This window comes from Homo sapiens, chromosome 6 (genome assembly GCF_000001405.40).
Source record: "Homo sapiens chromosome 6, GRCh38.p14 Primary Assembly".
NCBI lineage: Eukaryota > Metazoa > Chordata > Mammalia > Primates > Hominidae > Homo > Homo sapiens.
In genome coordinates this window covers 117,694,320-117,713,722 of record NC_000006.12, presented here as the reverse complement: position 1 = coordinate 117,713,722, position 19,403 = coordinate 117,694,320, and the positions used below count along the sequence as shown (strand labels likewise).

Genomic DNA, 19,403 nt, shown 5'->3' with positions numbered 1-19,403 from the left:
CCCTAGAAAAGTCATTGATCTCCAGGGCAAGCAAAATTCCTTTATAAAAAACACTCTAATTACTTATTTGTGGAAATCACAGAAGGTTGAAACCACCTCAATGTTGTGCTTTCAGAAAGCTAAAAAAAGACCACAAGATGAATTATTTAAAAACAATAGGTAAAGAAATTTAACAGTGATTTAGTCTGTTCTTGGAGATGTGACCTCAAAAACAAGCCATAGTTGTGTTACAAACACACATTTTAAAGATCATTTTTTTGGCCTGGCGCAGTGACTCACGCCTAGTAATCCCAACACTTTGGGAAGCTGAGGCAGGCAGATTGCTTGAGCTCAAGAGTTTGAGACCAGCCTGGGCAACATGGCGAGACCCTGTCTCTTCCAAAACCACAAAAAAAAAAAAAAAAAAAGCCAGGCATGGTGTTGTCTTGCGGGAAGTCAGGGACCCCGAATGGAGGGACCGGCTGAAGCCATGGCAGAAGAACATAAGTTGTGAAGATTTCATGGACATTTATTAGTTCCCCAAATTAATATTTTATAATTTCTTATGCCTATCTTTACTGCAATCTCTGAACATAAATTGTGAAGATTTCACGGACATTTATCACTTCCCCAATCAATACCCTTGTGATTTCCTGTGCCTGTCTTTAATCTCTTAATCCTGTCATCTTCGTAAACTGAGGGTGTATGTCACCTCAGGACCCTGTGGTGATTGCATTAACTGCACAAATTGTTTAAACAATATGAAATCTGGGCACCTTGAAAAAAGAACAGGATAACAGCCATGTTCAGGGAACAAGGGAGATAACCATTAGGTCTGGCTGCCTGAGAGCCAGGCGGAACAGAGCCATATTTCTCTTCTTTCAAAAGCAAATAGGAGAAATATCGCTGAATTCTTTTTCTCAGCAAGGAACATCCCTGAGAAAGAGAATGCGTTCCTACGGATAGGCCTCTAAAATGGCCACTCTAGGGACATGTCTTTTACAGTTGTAGATAAGGGATGAAATAAGCCCCAGTCTCCCATAGCGTATCCAGGCTTATTAGGATGAGGAAATTCCCGCCTAATAAATTTTGGTCAGATCGGTTGTCTACTCTCAAACCCTGTCTCCTGATAAGATGTTATCAATGACAATGGGTGCCCAAAACTTCATTAGCAATTTTAATTTCACCCTAGTCCTGTGATCTCGCCCTGCCTCTATTTGCCTTGTGATATTTTATTACCTTGTGAAGCATGGTAACCTCTGTGACCCACACCCTATTCGTACACTCCCTCCCCTTTTGAAAATCACTAATAAAAACTTGCTGGTTTTGCGGCTTGGGGGGCATCACAGAACCTGTCGACATGTGATGTCTCTCCTGGACACCCAGCTTTAAAATTTCTCTCTTTTGTACTCTTTCCCTTTATTTCTCAGACCAGCCAGCACTTAGGGAAAATAGAAAAGAACCCACGAAGAATTATCAGGGGCGGGTTCCCCCGATAATGTGCACCTGTGGTCCCAGCTACTCAGGAGGCTGAGGTGGGAGCCTGGGGGTCAGAGATTGCACCACTGCACTCCAGCCTGGGTGACAGAGTGAGACCCTGTCTCATTAAACTGTGGAAATCACAATTACCTACAGAATGAATGGGAGAAACTGCTAATTTAATGTTTATACAATGGGTTATCTGAAGCATGAGATTTCTCATAACTTTGTATATGGATAAAACATTACTATCTGTCAAAGAACACATTTTCTTTCAAATAAACTTAAGATAACAAACCAACAGACTTTGGAAAACTGGTAGTCAAATGTCAAAGATAAATGTGAATATAATGAATATAATTAATGAGTGGGCAAATGTTAATATATAATTTCATACAATTAAAATATGCACATATAATTTAGGATCTAGAATGAATTCTAAATAAATCTGATGTTTTAAAAAATTAACCTATAGAATAAATTTTAGGCAACATCCAGTACCACCCCACCTTCCCACAAATTAAGTGACAAAATTATAGAAATCACACTAGACCAAAGATTCTGAGACTTGGCACTACTGACATTTGAGGCTAATTCTTTGATGCAAGGGCTGTCCTGTGTATTGCAGCATGTTTAGCAGCATCCTTGGCCTCATCCCACTTGATACCACTAGTATACCTCCTGAGTTGTGACAAAAATGTCTCCAGTTGTCAAATGTCCACTGGGGGGCAAAATCACTCCAGGTGAGAACCACTGCACTAGAAAAATGAATGCCATGTCAAACATCCCCAGGTAAGTAGCTTCCACATTTTTCTGAATGTCCTATTTTCTAATTGTCTGAAATCTAAGTAAAATACATGGTGATAACAGTTGCTTACTATTATCATTACCTATATCTACTTCTATTTCACGTAAAATAAAAAATTTGCCTGGCATGGTGGCACACAACCTGTCAGCCCAGCTACTCATGAAGCTGAAGTGGGACGATCGCTTGAGACCGAATTCAAGCCTAGCCTGGGCAATACAGTGAGATCTCATCTCTAAAAAAAAGAAGAAAGAAATTTAAGGCACTTATTAAGTATAGCTGTTACTGATAAATTAACACTGAAAAATACACATTTATTAAAATAAAGCACTCATAGAACCAAATCCATAAGATATAGCAATTGAAATAAATCTTTATCGGAATGGAAACATTACTCTATACAAGGACAGAACTATGCTGTTAGCATTTATCCATATTCTGAATTTTTCTTTTTTTCCAGGATTGCCTTTTCCAAGCCAGATGTTTTTCTTGTCCTTGTAACAGCAACTTAAATTACTAATACTAATGAAGGGGACTATGAACAGTCAATAGCAGATATTGCTAATAGTTTGACCTCAGAGTACATTTTATTTGTTGCAATCATCTGGATACGTCATGCTAAAATTCACTTAACAGTCCTTGAATCACTAGATGAGGGAGAGATGAGCATAAAATTATTTGAAGAATTTGGGCCAACATTAAATATTAAGAATAACTGAATGTGGACTATAATTTTTTAAAACATTTTATTTTCATGTGCTATTGTAATTTATATCCAGACACAATAATCAAATACAAAAGAGAATGCAAGACTCTCAATTTCTAGTTTATAGTTTTTTAAAAAATCTCTTTATTAACTTGTTACAGTAGAATACATTTTTTAAAATATAGTACAAAAAATTCTCGGTGATCACCAAAAATGTAATCAATAAGGTTACATTCCTTTGTTTCTCTGAATCTTCTTTTTCCTATAATGAAAAGTGTATTTTTTAAACCTTAAGAAATTCTTTTTGCACTACCTTTTCCTATCCATTGCATCATAGTTTATGTCCCACCAGTTAGGATCTTGGAGAACTGCTCACATTAATCTTGTTTCCTGGGTTTTATTTCAAACTGTCCTGAACTTTATAGTAATTTTTGCTAAAGGAAGTTCCTAGTAAGCAGTTATTTGCCTTTGGTAAACTTAATTTTAGATGAAAACTATGCACAAAAAAACAATTGTCTTATGATTAGACCTTCAAGTTAGGAGGTGAATAGTCTATGCAGCATAAGACAAACCATAACTCTTACCTTTAAATTTTCTCATTTGACAAGAACTATCAAATTCCTTTTTAAAAGAGTACACATATACGTTTTTAATTTGGAAATTTCATATTCGGTAAAAATTCAAATTTTAATTACTGTGGAATTTTGACAACTCCAGCAATGGCAAAGCTGAATTTATTTCACTATTATCTATCAAAAAGCAAGTAACATTATAAGATTCCAAATGTTTAACCTGGTAAAAGTGAGAATATATTTCAATCAAGAGCATACCATCTAAAAAAAACACTATTGCTATCTAGTCATATGCATTTCTTATTACATTTTTGCAGCCCCTAAGTGTTCAGAACAAATGTAGCATTCACATAATACTATAGTCAATGAAAAGAGTATATTCTTTTATTGGTTTTTGTTCATACATGTTAAGTTTCAACTTTCAATAATAAAATTCAATAAATTTGATTCCTTAATCATAAAAACTGGCTTTACACATTATTTACATATTGTCAAAGTCCATACAAAACATCACAAGGATTTGATTGACTCTATGCATGGTACCATCACACAGGAGGAGGGAGCTAATCCAGTAACATACATTCAAAGATTAAATTGCAGATATGCACAGTGTATTTGGCACTGTTCATTAATATTATAACACCTTCCTCTCAAAGACAGGCATTCTTAAGCGTTAGTCACGATATACCAGAATTTGCTATTCACATTAAAACCACCTTTTAAACTTTATAACAGTAACCGATTATTATAGTTTTAAGAAACAAAACACAATGAGAACTGGGAATGGAATTCAAATCCTCCAACTTCTTGCTATGCTCCAAGCTGCCATCCATAAAACAGGTTTAATTCGGTAATTTTTCCATTGTGGGGAGTGTCAACAAGAAACAATTTAAAGACAGTATTTTCCAATACAAATAAAGACACATACTTTTGTTTAAAATTACCAGTTCTTCTTGGGAGTGCAAAGGGAGCCTTGATGATGTACAACTTGTGATGCTTTTGGCAGGAATTACAGAACAACCAATGCCATTCAAGTTGTGGAGATTGTACTAGCAGGTGAACTCATAAAGAGAAGGTTCTGGAATGACTACATCTGAAATCAGAATCCTAGTAGTTTGTAGTTTGCCTCTTCCTAGAACTTCAAGAGACTCAAATCATAGGCTACAGATGTACTTTCAAGTATATACTTATGAATGGAAGGAGAAAATAAAAGCACGAAAATGCAAATATTAAACCTTTACTGGCTTGGGCTATATTCCAGTAGGTAATTTATTTGACTAACTTAACTTTAACAACGATTAAATCCCTTCATTTTAATCAGGTCCATTAAATTTCATTCATTAAAGCTATACATACTCCAGAATGTTTATAAGACATTTATACCTATCATGTTTACAAAAGGCATAAATTCAGTCTTCAGCTGCACTACAAATGCCTCAATATAATATAATCACAGTATAAGGAATCAGAAATTCTCTGGTTAGATATGCTGTAGCTTCACACAAAACTCTCAGTAATAAATTAAAACAAAAAAAAAAAGTCGTACAACGTATAATGGATTATGCAGTGCAAAGTAATGTCACTGGACCAAAATTTAGTTTAATCATTTTTATTTCAAGTGTATTTAAAAAATCATAAATGGGGTTTCATAATCCAAAGTTGAAACATTTATTCTTCATAGCTTCAGAATTTAACAACCAATTGTAGACCATGCTTTCCAAATCCAGTCTTCTTTGCTATTTTTCAAAACTTCTGAGATCTAGTATTAAACTGCTCCATTCTAAATGTATAGTTTTAGATAAGTATTGTACACTTGTTGATAAGGGTTTTCTGAAAGCAGTCTATCAAATATAAAGAATGGTTTCTATCTAAGAATCAGCAGTGAGGGAAGAAATATTAAACACCTATCAAGAAATCAATTATTCATTTTAAAAATAACAGAACCAGTGCTGCTCTCTGTCATAAAAGAGAACATGTAAAATTTATTTTTATAGACTTTGGTAATATTTTATTCCCCCACAGAGGCCTTCAATCCTACTTAAAGATATTTTACACACAGTAACCATCAGGATTTACTGAGTAAAAATCTCAGGTATTAACCATGCCCCTAAAATGTGCTATTCCAAAGAGGAACAGGTTACTTTTGAGGAAAAAAGCTGCCTTGGTAACTTCCCTCAAATGTTTATTTTAAATAAAAATGGTTGATGGAAATATTTTTTAAAAGAACTTTGGGTATAATATGGCATACTGCCCATCAAACAAAAAAGGAAATAAAACTTTCTTTCCATTTATAATAAGTTTTCCACCTTTACTATCAAGATTACAACTTATTGACCTTTTATGCTTGCTTGGTTTTTTTGACTGCCTAATCCAATGTTTAAATTTTTAAGTCTGCATTTCAATGTAGTAGGAGTTATTTTTCAAATAATCTTCAGAACCCAGAATACAGAGCAACTCTCAGAATACCAGAGCAACACTCTCAAGTCATACTTTTGAACCCAGAATACCAGAATACCAGACTTCAGAACCCAGAATACCAGAGCAACACTCTCAAGTCATACTTTTGACTACAATTAAGAGATGAAAATGGACGGATATCTGAAGATAGGTATTCCCTCTGCTCTGAAGGTGAGCAAGATTTTAACATGTGAGCAACACAGAACTCCACTCCTCTGGAGCTCCTTTCAACTCAGAATGCTTCAGTTCAGTAAGTCAATATATTATTCTTAAAAATTAAAGTTTGGTCACTAAGAAGGACTGAACAAAAATTATTCCCCTCCCGCCAAACACAACCAGAACAGTTCTAATCAGGCCCTCTTCTCCCCACAAAAATAGGGAAGTAGCTGGGCTGAAGACTTTAAGTGTGACATTTCAGTTCCTAAAACATCACTGCTATTTGCTCAAAGTTGTAGGTCTATGTATTTCCTTCTCCAATACGTCCCCATTTATAAGTTTATTTCCATACATACAAACGTGCACATGTGTGCACGTGCACACGCACACACACACACTCACTCTCAAGTAAGACACTTTTTTGTGTTTGTTGATAAATTATGAGGATTATGAACTAGGTGTGTACAGGGTTTCATAGGTGCTTTGTAAACATCAGAGTCACTTGGTTCCTTTCCTCCACAAGCCTCAAATCAAATTATGCAACCAATGACCACTACTTTCCCAGACGCTGTTCACAGGCTGCATATTGACGAAGGGCAGAGAAAAAGTCCTCATAACTGATGTTTAGGTGGGAAGGCAAAGAGCTGAAAAGAAAACACGGGGGGAGAAAAGCAATTAGATATACACTGTAATGTAGGGGGGAACCAGAAGATAAGGACCAAAAAGAAGTTAAGAATAGAATACACCAAATTATCCTCCACCAGACAGCACCATGACAGGCACGGAAAATGTCTTAATCATAATATGTAGACTGAAAGGGTGGGGCCCTGACAGAACTGACTGGGAAATAGCAGAGAGCCTCTGAGGCACCGAGGGGTAGTGGCACTCACTGTTTATTGACGAGTGTTCATTGAAGATAGCTATTCCCTCTGCTCTGAGGGTAAATTATAAGCAGAATATGCCAAACAATTCTACTAAGATTGTTCAGCTCATTGTGGACAATGAGATGACAAGGACACACAATGTCATCATCAACTAAAAAATTAATATGCCTCTTTTTCCACAAGAAAAGCAACTAGTAATGAGAGATTCATAACTTGTTAAAGCGTAAGCTCAGATTAATGCAAAGCTAGAGATCTATGTATAAAGGATCTCATTTAAATCCATTAAAGAATTTCTCCTTGGTCAGAGTAAAGCCAATATTACTTAGTTTAGGAAAGCCATGCTTAATGTTGGGCAGAGCCACACAGCATCCAAACATGATGAAATATTGTAGCCATGTTGTGAGCAACCTAGAAATCAACACTTACCTCCACCATTTCCAATTACTCAAGGGCAATTACAGTGTGAAAATAAGCACTTTAAAGATAGACTGAATACACAATCAGAGGGTTCCCTTTTATGTATTAGAAGTAACTATTAATTTTAAATAAGTAACATGAAAAACATCTGTAATTTATGTAGCTTTATAATGTGGGAATTCCAAATAGTATCAGGGTCAAACACCTGGTCAGAATAGAAGAGTCACAGTCAGAGTCCTACAGTCACATGCACCACAAAAAAAGAGTGAACAAACCTACCTTGAAAGGACTCCTGCCTGTCTTTAGCTATACTTTTCTTTATCCTTCCTCAGACTGCCAGAAATTCTGCAATAAGTCATCCACTTCTAATTCCTCATCATCTCTTAATAATCTCTGCTATCAACCTTAAGTCTTATTCACACCTCTGAAATAATATGCTCAAAGAACAAATTTAATGCATTATTCTTGCTAAAGCTTGCTTCAAATGTCCTCAAACTCTCAACTTCCCTAAGTCTTCCTCATCTTACCCCTTCAATCAACCTCATCTCCTACGACTCTTCAATATAGTGCCACTACTCCTCAATGCCTCAGAAGCTCTGTTGCTATTTCTCAGTCTGTTCTGTCAGAACCCCACCCTTCCCTTCTCTGTATTATGATTAACATTTTCCCTGCCATCACAGTGCTCAGTCTCGTAGAGGGTACACAAATACAAAGCAAACCTCAGTATAATGTGATATAGCTATCATAGACATGTACATAGGTCAAAGGAAGAGCCTGTTACGTGCTTCATATCTTGTCCATTATCAGATTTAAATTCTCAACTCCACATTAACATGCCCTTTGTACAAATATAGAGAGTTTAAATAACTTGCCAAAGTCAAGTTATAGAGCTGTATAGTCAAGATTCAAACCAAAATCCTTCTGTTCTTCCCTCCAAACCACTCCCAACTGTACACAGCATCACTGCTGCCATACTTGGAGACAACCTGAAATGACTTGAAAACCCTTGGAGAAAACCAGGTAAGAGAAACATACTCCCACCATAAAGAAACTCTGAGTCTGGAGATCTGGGTTCTAATTCACTTTGTGACAAGCTTGAACAATGTCTCTCTTCCCTATTTTCCTTATCTATAAAATGAGAAGGTGGGACCAGATGATTTAGAGTCCTTTCCAACTCTAACATGCTACACGTTCTCTTCTCTTTTTCATACTTTGTCCCTCCTGCCCACAAGCTTAAAAGACCCCTTCATACATCTTGGAGAGATACTCTATATTCTCACAGGTTCAACTACTTCCCAGGTTATGATGATCCCCAAACATGTATCTTTAGCCTTGACTTCTCACTCAAGCATCAATTCTACATCTTTATCTGTTCTACACTAAGTGTATCCATCCAAATAGACTATGGCCTCAAAATCATCTGCATCTTCCCTTCAAAAATGAATATTCCCTTCACTTTCTGGTTTCCTCTCAATAATATCATAATCACTTAGTCACTTAAGCTTAAAAACTTAGGAGTCATTTCATCTCTAATTTTATCGCAATTAGTAAAGTGCTATGCCTGCAATTATACATGGTAAATACCTGTCATGAGAGAGAGAATTTGTAGTATTCTCCAAGACCCAGCATTTACATATATTTTAAGGCTACTATGTCTCTCCTTTATTCTAAATTAGGGGTCAGCAAATACAGCCCAGGAGCCTGATACTTGTTTTTGTAAACAAAGTTTTATCAGAACACGGTCACAATGCTTGTTTACATATCATCCATGGTTGTTTAGCTATAGCAGCAGAGTTGCATAGATGCAATAGAGAGGAGCAGTTGCAAGTGACTGTACGGCCTGAAAAGCCTAAAATATTTACTATCTGGCCCTTTACAAAAAAAGTTTGCCTAAACTGTTCTAAATAAGCAATTTCATTCTCTTCAATGTATTCTCCCTTAAATTATAGTTATGGCCTCTTCACTTGTCTTTTTAATCTCATCCCTTCCCAAATTCAATCCACTCTAGTGCATAAGCTGCTAAACAAATCTTCCAAAATCACCATTCCCACATAATACACAGGCTCAACACGTTTCCTATTGCCTGCCTACCACTACACACATTCCTATGCTGGCATTTAAAGATTTCTGAGCCTTGACACCTCTGAACTATTTGATTTCATCTCATACTACTGCCTAACACTGTCTGCTCTGGTGTGGCTAGTTCCTTATTTCTTTAAAACACACCCCAGGTTTTCTTTTTCCCCCCTTCTCGCCTTTTCTCTAAATAAGAAAACTACCCATTTTATGTATCTGCGGATCAAGCCACACCCTTTACAGTTATCTCTCACTCCTGATCTCCTAAGGTAATCAGTGGCAATACCAAACATCTGCACAACTATACACTCTCTTGTGTCTAACTCATTTATGTATGACTTTATTTTACCAGTGGTACTGTGAAATAACTGAGGTAAAGGATCCAGTATTATAATTCTTTGGAAATCCCCACCAGATCTAGTACAGTGCTGAACTCAAGAAACACTTGCTGAATCTAAACAAAGTCAGTACGCTTTTAATTACTTACACAATCTCAGTCAATCTGATGTGCCAGGGAAGAAAGCCTAATGTGCTGTCCACAGGACCGAACTTCAATACTAAATCAGGATCAGGACAACCATTTGAACCTTGGAAATAAATAAATACACATGAACTTAACATGCACTGCATGTGCACACACACACACACAGAAACACACAGATCATGGGCAAAATGTATTAATCAAATTGGTTCTTTAAACTACCTGTTTTCTTCAGAAGTTTTATCTGTATGTCTCCATGCCCCACCCCCAACTCTGTAATACATACTTTAATATCTATGCTCATTCCAAATGTGGAAGTTTTCTCAAAAGTCTGTTTAACTTGATTGATTACCTGATAAGAAAGGGTAACCCACCTCCCACACTATACCCAATAGGTGCCCCCAAAATCACATGTATCTTTTAAGACTCAATGTAGGTGTTCTCTTGGAATCCTGGGAAAGTTACTACAGTTCTAAAGGTGTGACTGCTTGATTCTGGCCACAGAATTGAATAACTTCAGAGACGAAAAGGAAATTTTAAAATATCTATTCTCCTTCCTTCCCTCATGCACCTCATTTTACAGCTATGAACCCAAAAAGACCAACTCCTAGCCATACATCACAAATGTCTTCCTTGGTCCCCAGAGCCAGAGCAGCCTCAGAGAGGAAAAGGAGACCAAGCATCTGCCTCAACAAGGACAAGGTCAATTTTTATCTCTTTCATGAACTGGTTTCCATATGAGACCTGACTTGGGGAAAAAAAGGACAAGGGTATTTCAATAGCTTAAAAATAAAATTTGAAGAGTACAGAAAAAAGATACTATAATCCAAGAGACTAAGGTTCCAATAGTTGTTAACATCCTCAATTCTGCCACTAACTTGTCTGTTATACAACCTCTCCAGTGCTAAATTCCTTCATTTGTCAAATAAGGAAACTGGATCAGGCAGTCCTGTCCAGCAGTACTATTGAAAAAATTATTTCCATAACAAAGTCCTTCTAAAAGTCCATACTGGTAGAGTGAATGGGCCAAGCAGAGGAACACACATTCCTGTATTACCTAAGAAGCAATAAATTATCTTCCATAAAAAATGACAAGAAGGAACTCCAAACCAATAGTGATGTAAAGAGGGTGGCAAATCTTCTCTATAAAAAACATGTTAAATTGGACAAAACCAACCATTCAAGAACACTAGATACTGACCAAAGGCGGACAATTATTCTTAAAGAAAACAACAAAAAAAAAGCTAGAGCTTTCAGTAAGAATGGCAAAGGTCTATGGCCTTCTTGCCTGGGACTGCTCCCAATGCCCACCCCAATCAACTGGAGAGAACTTACATTTTACCAGTATAGCTCTGACAGCAAAAATTAGATGATTTGCTACTTGCTGCCAAAAGATACGGACTCAATCTGGAACTGGAGGGTGTAGGCAAGAAGGAAAAGGAACAATGAAAATCCATGGTTTGACAGTTAAAGGTGGGAAATTCAAAAGAGAACAAATAGGAAAACCCACAGCTTTACTTGCCTGAGGTTGTAGCCCCAGTTAATACAATGGCAAGAAATTTAACAGTGAGATCCAGGAAATAAGGGCTCAGATAAACTCTCACATATCCATGGCCGACTGGGAAATAACATACATACTAGGAGGGGAAGCAGGGTAGGGGACAGGGCAGGAAGAAAGTCCAGTGAAAATCAAAAGCCAAGGAAACTTGAGAACTGGTGGCAACTTTAAATTCAGTTTCCAATACCAGAAATCATGGAAGCCTTACAAATTTAAGGTATCTAAGCATAACCAATGTGGAAATCATTGGCTTACCACTAAGCTATGTAGACATAAGCCAGACTAAAAAATTAAATAAAAAAAAACCTGAGCAGAGACAGCAGGAGTAATCTTTATTTATAGACAACATGATCGTGTATTTAGAAAATCCTAAGTCTCTACAAAAAGAGCTACTAGATTAGGTGAACTTGTATCTTAGGAAGGTTGCAGGATATAAAATCAATATTAAGAAACAAGTGTATTTCTAAGTATTAACAAACAACCTGAAAATTAAGAACATAATTCCATTAACAACAGCATCAAAAAGAATACCTAGGAGTAAATTTAACAAAAGAAGTAGAAATTCTATACCCCGAAACTGCAAAATATTATTTAAGAAAATTAGAACCCGGCCGGGCGTGGTGGCTCACGCCTGTAATCCCAGCACTTTGGGAGGCCGAGGCAGGTGGATCACGAGGTCAGGAGATCGGGACCATCCTGGCTAACACAGTGAAACCTCATCTCTACTAAAAATGCAAAAAATTAGCCAGGCGCGGTGGCGGGCGCCTGTAGTCCCAGCTACTCGGGAGGCTGAGGCAGGAGAATGGCGTAAACCCGGGAGGCAGAGTCTGCAGTGAGCTGAGATCACACCACTGCACTCCAGCCTGGGCGACAGAGCGAGACTCCATCTCAAAAAAAAAAAAAAAAAGAAAATTAGAACCCAAATAAATGGAGAAATATACTATGATCATGAACTGGAAGACTCAATATTGTTAAGAAGGCAACTTTCCCCAAATTGAGCTATAGATTCAATTCAATCCATATCAAAACCCCAGCAGAGTTTTTTTAAATTAGAAAGCCAATCCCAAAATTTGTAGAAAAATGCAAAGGACCCTGAATAGACACAACAACTTTGAAAAAAAAAAAAATCTTATTCAATTTTTTTTTTTGTACACAGTAGCCAGCCTCACTTCCCTGCTGGCTCACTCCCCCATTATCTTTCCCAGCCTCTAGCAACCATCCTCTACTCTCTATCTCCATGAGTTCAATTGTTTTAATTTTTAGCTCCCACAGGTGAGAACATGTGATGTTTGTCTTTCTGTGACAGGCTTATTTCATTTAACATAATGGCCTCCAGTTTCATCCGTGTTGCTGCAAATGACAGGATCTTGTTCTTTTTATGGCTGAATACTACTCTGTGGTCCATATGTACATTTTCTTTATCGATTCATCTGCTGATGGACACTTCAGTTGCTTCCAAATCTTGGCTATTGTGAACAGTGCTGCAATAAACATAGGAGTTCATATTCTTTTCTTTTTGGTATGTACCTAGCAGTGGGATTACTGGATCATGTGGTAGCTCAATGTTTAGTTTTTAGAGAAACCTCCAAACTGTTCTCCACACTGGTTGTACCAATTACATTCCCACCAACAGTGTACAAGGATTCCCTTTCTCCACATCCTCGTTAGCATTTGTTATTACCTGTTTAGAAAAAAGCCATTTTACAATAATATGTTATTGTAGGTCTAATTTGTATTTCTCCAATGATCAGTGATATTGAGCATCTTTGCATATACCTATTTGCTATCTGTATGTATTCTTTTGAGAAATATCTATTCAGATCTTTTGCCTATTTAAAAAATCAGATTAGATCTTTTTCCTGTAGATTTGCTTAAGCTCCTTATGTATTCTAGTTATTAATCCCTTGTCAGATGAGTAGTTTGCAAATATTTTCTCCCATTCTGTGTTGTCTTTTCACTTTGCTGATTGTTTCCTTTGCTGTGCAGGAGCTTTTTAACTTGATGTGATCTCATTTGTTCATTTTTGCTCTGGTTGCCTGTGCTTGTAGGGTTTGGCCCAGTTCAATGTCCTAGAGAGCTTCCCCAGTGTTTTCCTGTAGTAGTTGCTTAGTTTGAGATCTTAGATTTAAGTCTTTTATGCATTTTGATTTGATTTTTGTATATGGCAAGAGATAGGGTTCTAGTTTCATTATTTTCCATGCGGATATCCAGTTTTCCCTGTACCATTTACTGAAGATACTGGTTTTTCCCATTGTATGTTCTGGGCACCTTTGTCAAAAAATGAGTTCACTGGAGATGTATGCATTTGTCTCTAGATTGTCTCTAGATTGTCTATTCTCTGTGTCTGTTTTTATGCCAGTACCATGCTGTTTTGGTAACTATAAGTATAGCTCTGTAGTATAACTGGAAGTCAGGTAACGTGATTCCTCCAGTTTTGTTCTTTTTGCTTAGAATAGCTTTGGCTATTCTGGGTCTTTTTGTGATTCCATATAAATTTTCGGATTGTTTTTTCTAGTTCTGTGAAGAATGTCACTGATATTTTGATAGACTGCATTGATATTTTGCATTGACTGCAGATTGCTTTGGGTACTATGGACGTTTTAACAATATTGATTCTTCTTCCAATCCATGAACAGGAAATAGGCTTACATTTTTTGGCTGTCCTCCTTAATTTCTCTCATCAATGTTTCATAGTATTCATTGTAGAGATCTTTCACTTCTTTGGTTAATTCCTAGATATTTAATTTTATTTGTATCTATTATAAATGTGATTACTTTCTTGGTTTCTTTTTCAGATTGTTCACTATTGACATATAGAAATGCTCCTGATTTTTGTACATTGGTTTTGTATCCTGCAACTTTACTGAATGTGTTTATCTGTTCTAATTGTTGTCCGGTGGAATCTTTAGGTCTTTCCAAATTTGAGATCAGATCATCTGCAAAGAAGGACTTCTTCCTTTCCAATCTGGATGCCTTTTCCTTCTTTTTCTGGTCTAATTGCTCTAGCTAGGACCGCCAGTGCTATGCTAAATAACAGTGGTGAAAGTGGCATCCTTGTGTTCCAGTTATTGGAGGAAAGGCTTTCAGTTTTTCCCCATTCAGAAAGATAGTAGCTATGGGTCCATCATATATGGCTTTTATTATGTTGTAGCGTGTTCCTTCTATACCCAGATTTTTTAGGGTTTTTATCATGCAAGTGTTTAATTTTATCAAATGCTTCTTCAGTATCAATTGAAATGATCATGATTTTTATCTTTCATACTGTCAATATATCATATTCATTGATTTGTGTATGTTCAACCATCCTTGCATCCCTGGGATAAATCCCACTTGGTCATCGTCTTTTTAATATATTGTTGAATTTGGTTTGCCATTATTTTGTGGAGGATTTCTTCATGAACATTTATCAGTGGTACTGGCTTGTAATTTTCTTTTTTTGATGTGTCTTTGTCTGGTTTGGGTAACATGGTAATACTAGCTTCACAAAATGAATCTGTAAGCATTCCCTCCTTTCTATTGTGCAGAATAGTTTGAGTAGAATTGGTATTAGTTCTTCTTTAAATGTTTGGTAGAATCCAGCAATGAAGCCATCAAGTCATGAGCTTTCCACTGCTCTAAGACTTTTCATTACTTCAGCTTCAACCTCATCACTTATTATTGGTCTCTTCAGGATTTGGATTTCTTCATGGTTCAATCTTGGTGGGTTGTAGGTCTAGGAATTTATCTATTTCTTCTAGATTTTCCAATTTATTGGCATATAGTTACTCATAGCAGCCACTAATGATCCTTTGAATTTCTGTAGCATCAGTTGCAGTATCTCCTTTCCATCTCTGATTTTATTTATTTGGGTCTTCTGGTTTTTTTCCTTGGTCTAACTAAAGATTTCTCAATTTTATCTTTTCTAAAACACCACCAAATTTTTTATCTTTTGTATAGACTTTTTCATTTCAAATTCATTCATTTCTGCTCTGATCTTTTAAACTTTCCTGTTAGTACTGCTTTGCTGCATCCCATAGGTTTTGGTATGTTGTATTTTTATTACCACTTGTTTCAGTAAATTTTTCAATTTCCTTCTTAATTTTTTCATTGACCCACTGGTAATCCAGGAGCATACTGATTAGTTTCCAGGTGTTTGTATAGTTTCCAAAATTCCTCTTATTGATTTCTAGTTTTATTCCATTGTGGTCAGAGAAGATGCTTGATATTATTTCAATGTTTGTGAATGTTTTAGACTTGTTTTGTGGCCCAACATATGGTCTCTTCTTGCGAATGTTTCATGTGCTGACAAGGAGAATGTATATTCTGCAGCCATTGGATAAAATGTTTTGTAAATATCTATTAGATCCATTTGGTCTACAGTGCAGATTAAGTTCAATGTTTCTTGTTGATTTTCTGTCTCTATCTGTCTAGTGTTGAAAGTGGGGTGTTGAAGTCTCCAGCTATTATTGTATTGGGGTCTCTCTCTCTCTCTTTCTTTAGCTCTATTAATATTGGCTTTATATATCTGGGTTCTCCAATGTTGGGTGCATATGTATTTACAACTGTCATATCCTCTTGCTAAAATGACCCCTTTATCACTAGATAGTGGACTTCTTGGTCTCTTCTTAGAGTTTTTGTCTTGAAATATCTTTTGTCTGATATAAGTATAGTAACTCCTGCTCTTTTTGGGTTTCCGTTGGCATAAAATATCTTTTTCCATCCCTTTATTTTCAGTCTGTGTGTCTTTATAGGTGAAGTGTGTTTCTGGTAGGCAACAGATCATTGGGTCTTATTTTTTATCCATCCGCCCACTGTATGTCTTTTGAAGAGTTTAGTCTACTTACATTCAATGTTATTATCGATAAGGACTTACTCCTGCCATTTTGTTATTTGTTTTCTGGTTGTTTTGTGGTCTTCTCTTCCTTCTTTACTTCCTTCCTGTCCTCCTTTTAGGAAAGGTGATTTTCTCTGGTGGTATGACTTAATTTCTTGCTTTTTATTTTTTTGTGTATCTCTTGTATGTTTTTTGATTGGAGGTTACCATGAGGCTTGCAAATACTATCTGTCATAACCCATTATTTTAAGCTGATTACCACACTGCTTGCATAAACAAATAAACAAAATGAAAACTAATAAAAACTGTATACTTTACATTCATCTCCCCATTTTAAAACTTTCTGTTGTTTTTATTTGTATCTTATTGTACTGTCTATGTCTTGAAAAGTTGTTTTAGTTATTATTATTGACTGGGTCATCTTTTAGTCTTTTTACTTGACAGTTTTATACACCACAGTTACAGTTCTGTAACATTCTGTGTACTTACTATTACCAGTGAGAGTTGTACCTTCAGATGATTTATTGCTCATTAACATCTTTTCCTTTCTGATTAAACAATTCCCCTTAGCATTTCTTGCAGGGAAAGTGTGGTGCTGATAAAATCTCTTAGCTTTTGTTTGTCTGGGAAAGTCTATTTCTTCTTCGTGTTTGAAGGATATTTTCACTGGGCATACTATTATTCTAGGGTAAAAGTTTCTTTCTTTCACCACTTTTTAAAATATGTTATGCCACTCTCTCCCAGCCTGTAAGGTTTCTACTGAAAAGTCTGCTGCCAGATATGTTGAACCTCTATTGTATGTTGTTTCTTTTCTCTTGTTGCTTTTAGGATCCATTTTTTTTTTAAATCCTTGACCTTTCATAGTTTGATTATTAAATGCCTTGAAGTAGTCATCTTTCGGTTAAATCTGCTTGGTGTTCTATAATCTTCCTGTAGTTGAATGCTGATATTTTTCTCTAGGTTTGGGAAGTTCTCTAGGTTTAAATAAACTTTGTAACCCATCTCGTTCTCTCTCTGTATCTCCTCTTTAAGGCCAATAACTCAGATTTGCCCTCAAGAGGCTTTTTCCTAGATTTTGTAGGTGTGTTTCATTCTTTTGTCTCCTCTCTGTATTTGTAAATAGCTTATCTTCAAGCTTGTAACTTTCTTCTGCTTGATCAATTCTGCTATTAAGAGACTCTGATGCATTTTCAGTATGTCAACTGCATTTTCAACTCCAGAATTTCTGCTTGATTCTTTTTAATTATTTCACTCTCTTTGTTAAATTTATCTGATAGAATTCTGACTTTCTGAATTCTTGAAAACACACAAACATCCACACAAAAACTTGTACACAAACAGTCATACAGCATTATTCAAAAACTGGAAACAAACCACATGTGCATTAACCGATGAATGCATAAGCAAAACGTGGTATATCTAGAAAATACTACTCACCAATAAAAAACAATGAATAACTAATGCATTTTACATAGATGAACCTCAAAAATATGGTAAGTAAACAAAGCAAGACATAAAAGACTATATATTGTATGACTCCTTTTATATAAAATTTATAGAAAAAGCGAAAGTATAGTCAGAAACCAGACCAGTGGTTGCTGGTTTAGGGGGCAGGAGTGGGGACTAAATGCAGTCACAAAGGAACTTTTGATGGTGATGGTATTCAGAATGCTTGCCTCTGTCAAATTAATAAGTTAAGAATTGTGTACATTTTCATTTATCCTAAGCTTACAATGCCTGAAGGCAACAACTGGGCTTAATAAACATTAGCGCTTTCCCATGGACTACCTGAAGGTCATCTTTGGATCTCCATCAACTTTTAGAATGTCCTTATGAAATTACTCTCTTATTAGGGTCTCATAGGGTGCAGGAAACAGTCAACATCCCAGTAACATCTGAGCAGAGAGGCCCCATAATGGTCTACTACTCACTGAGCCTGAATATAATTAGGCAATGACAGGGTAGGGTAAGAAGCAAGTAGTCAACAAAAGTAGGAAGTTAGCGAAACCAAGAAGTGGGAGATGGACTTTGCTCTGTGACGGACACATGTCAAAGTGGAAGAAACAAAGAATGGAGAGTTAAGTAAATAAGTTAAGATAGAAAATGCATTTCTTTTTCTTTTTTTTTTTTTTTTTTTTTTTTTTTTGAGACAGGGTCTCACTCCGTCACCCAGGCTAGAGTGTACTGATGCGATCTTGGCTCACTGCAACCTCTGCCTCTTGAACTCAAACTATACTCCTGCTTCAGCCTTCTGAGTAGCTGGGACCACAGGCGTGAGCCACCATGCCTGGCTAATTTTTTATTTTTTGTAGAGATGGGGTTTTGCTATGTTGCGCAGGTTGGTCTCAAACTCCTGCGCTCAAGCGATCCACCTGCCTCAGCCTCCCAAAGTGCTGGGATTACAAGTGTGAGCCACCCCATCCAGCCTGAAAATGCACGATTAATAAGTAAATGGATAGTCTAAGTAATAAAAAATGAATGAATGTCTAAAACTGTATGCCTATAGAAGCTATTAATGAACATGAATTTACTAGAGAGATTGTCTTTCTTCAAAAGGATCAAGGCTAATGCTAGTAAGCAAGAAGAACCATGACATTATGGCAAAAAGGTCCTAGAGGGAATTCTCTAGACAGAATATGCAAACCAAAGGCTTATTTAAACAGCTGAAGAAAAAAAGTTATATTTGGTATAACATGACAAATACAGTTGTATATTTGGTATAGCATAATAGAAAGAATAATTAAAAAGGAATCATGGTAACAGTAAGATTATATTCCTGGGATCACCTCATAAAAAGATTAAGTTCAAAGTTAAGGGAAAGTTCAAACTAAAAAGAAAGGGGAAGAGGGAGAGGAAGGCTAACAAGCAGAAGTCCTATTTTCAAGAATATTCATCACTACAAAAAAGATCCTCAAAGGTCATCTCCTTTACCATTAAATCCTCATGCGAGTGAGTGGCTACAAATTTCATTGTCTCGAAACCATTTTTACATAGGTCTTTAAATTTCAGAAATTTAACAG

At 36.3% G+C, this 19,403-nt stretch overlaps 1 protein-coding gene across 1 annotated transcript in view; it reads right to left on the bottom strand.

Moving 5' to 3' along the window:
- The window catches only part of NUS1 (NUS1 dehydrodolichyl diphosphate synthase subunit), a 35,259-nt gene continuing 18,851 nt past the window's right edge, over positions 2,996–19,403 (bottom strand). The window contains exons 4-5 of the mRNA NM_138459.5: positions 10,019–10,118; positions 2,996–6,798 (exon numbers count right to left, since the gene is read on the bottom strand). Coding sequence (NP_612468.1) covers positions 6,708–6,798; positions 10,019–10,118 — 191 coding nt within the window. The 3' untranslated portion in view covers positions 2,996–6,707. The remainder of the gene's footprint in view (positions 6,799–10,018; positions 10,119–19,403) is intronic.